Raw genomic sequence first — 1841 nt, 5'->3', positions numbered from 1 at the left:
CAGCTAACCAAGATGGTGAAAGTCCTCTATAGGAGAACTATAAAACACTGCTGAAAGAAATCAGAGGTGACAAAAATAAATGAAAAAACATTCCATGCTTATGGATTACAGGATCAATATCATTAAAATAGTCATGCTGCCCAAAGCAATCTACAGATTCAATGCTGTTTCTATCAAACTACCAATGCCATTCTTCAAAGAATTAGAAAAACCTTTTCTAAAATTCATATGGAACCAAAAAGTAGTCCAAATAATCAAAACAATCCTAAGCAAAGAGAACAAAGCTGCAATCATCACATTACCAGACTTCAAACTATAATATAAGGCTACAGCAACCAAAACAACATGGCACTGGTACAAAAACAGACACACAGGCCAATGCAACATAATACAAAACTTAGAGGGGAAAGGCCACAAACTTACAAGCATCTGTAATGGTTTAACTCCTAAGTATCTTCCCTCAATTTCATGTATATTTTATTCTATTTGGCAGTGACTGTTCCACAGTTTTGTTAAAAATAAAGCTTTATTTTTCTGTCCTTATTTATTTTTATTCCACCAAAATCACAGAGGAAAGTAGAGTTAGCAGTGACTTTAAACAATAACTTTTAATCACAAAACTTCACACTAAGTTTATCAAACAAAAGTTTCCATCAAATACCATTATTGTCACAGGATCCTTAGGGTGTTGCTTCACTATCTGGAAACCTCTGTGGCCAGCGGCTCCTCTGCTTGAGTTTTGCTCATGCCTGCTGGGCTCATTCTTTTCACTCAGCCCAGCAGGTTGCACTCAGCTAGCACTACTGGCATGGATCCCATGACTGCCAAGGGTGAGCCAGGTGTGGAGCAGCAACGGGTGTGTGAGTAAGCAAGTGCAAGGTCCAGCCACTGTGCACAGCCAGGCATGCCAGCTGCAGCAGAGCAGGCAGCTCCAGGTGCTGACACAGGTGCTGCCTCTGTGCAAGGCTGCAGTTGAACCAGGTGTACCACAAGTGGCTTCCGCTGAGGGCACTGGGGAATGAGGTGGTGCCCAAAACTTGGAGATGCCAGGAACCACAGAACCCCAAAGAGGGTGTTACAGTGTGTCACAGCCCAGACTCAGGAAACCCAAGGTCTGGACCTGCAAAAGGGCCACAGCTCTTCTCTCCTTCTCGCCACCCACAGTGTAGAGCACAAGTGGGCTTATTTCAGCCCGTTTGTGTTGCAGCTCCTTCAGTCCTGCCACCCTGCTCTGGCCAGCAGCACCTGGGCTAGCCCAGTCCCACCACTACATGGGCTGGCTCAGTCCATTACGTGGAGCAGCCACCCAGTGCCAACAGAGGGCGAGAGTGCTATAATGTTACAGCAGTTCTGGCTTGGGGAACCCCAAAGTCTGGGCCCCCAGAAGGGTTGCCATTCTTCACTCCCACAGTCCAGGAGTGTGTCACTGCCTGTAGCTCAGTGAGCCTGCCAGAAACGTGTTACAGCTCCTTTTGCTCCTACTGTTTGATCTTGTCCCACGTCCAGGAAGAATGATGTTACTGACAACTGAAGGGTGAGCAAGGTGGAGCGGAGCTTTATTGAGCAACAGAACAGCTCTCAGGAGAACTGAAGTGGATAGCTTCTTTCTGCAGGCAGGTTGCCCCCACGAGTGTGTCAGTCTGGCTAAGTCAGGGATTTTTATGTGCTCAGAATGGAGGAAGTCCATGCTGATTGGTCCATGGGTAGCCATAGGTGGGCCTGGAAAAAGCATCATCCCGTTGCCTAAAAGGTGTCAACGTAGTTCTCACGCCGGGTCATGGACTCCACCTGAAACTGGCAGCCTGGCCCCCAGGCTTCAGGCTGTCCCTGGCTTGAATGTG

At 47.3% G+C, this 1841-nt stretch overlaps 1 annotated feature.

Moving 5' to 3' along the window:
• Positions 927-1427: an enhancer, noted in NCBI's record as "H3K4me1 hESC enhancer chr5:119704666-119705166 (GRCh37/hg19 assembly coordinates)". NCBI's record gives its function as "activates a minimal SCP1, AML or CMV promoter by ChIP-STARR-seq in primed H9 embryonic stem cells {active_cell/tissue: H9 hESC(primed)}" and the evidence as "EXISTENCE:reporter gene assay evidence [ECO:0000049][PMID:30033119]".

Source organism: Homo sapiens, chromosome 5 (assembly GCF_000001405.40).
Source record: "Homo sapiens chromosome 5, GRCh38.p14 Primary Assembly".
Classification (NCBI taxonomy): domain Eukaryota; kingdom Metazoa; phylum Chordata; class Mammalia; order Primates; family Hominidae; genus Homo; species Homo sapiens.
This window is presented reverse-complemented; position numbering and strand designations above follow the sequence as displayed.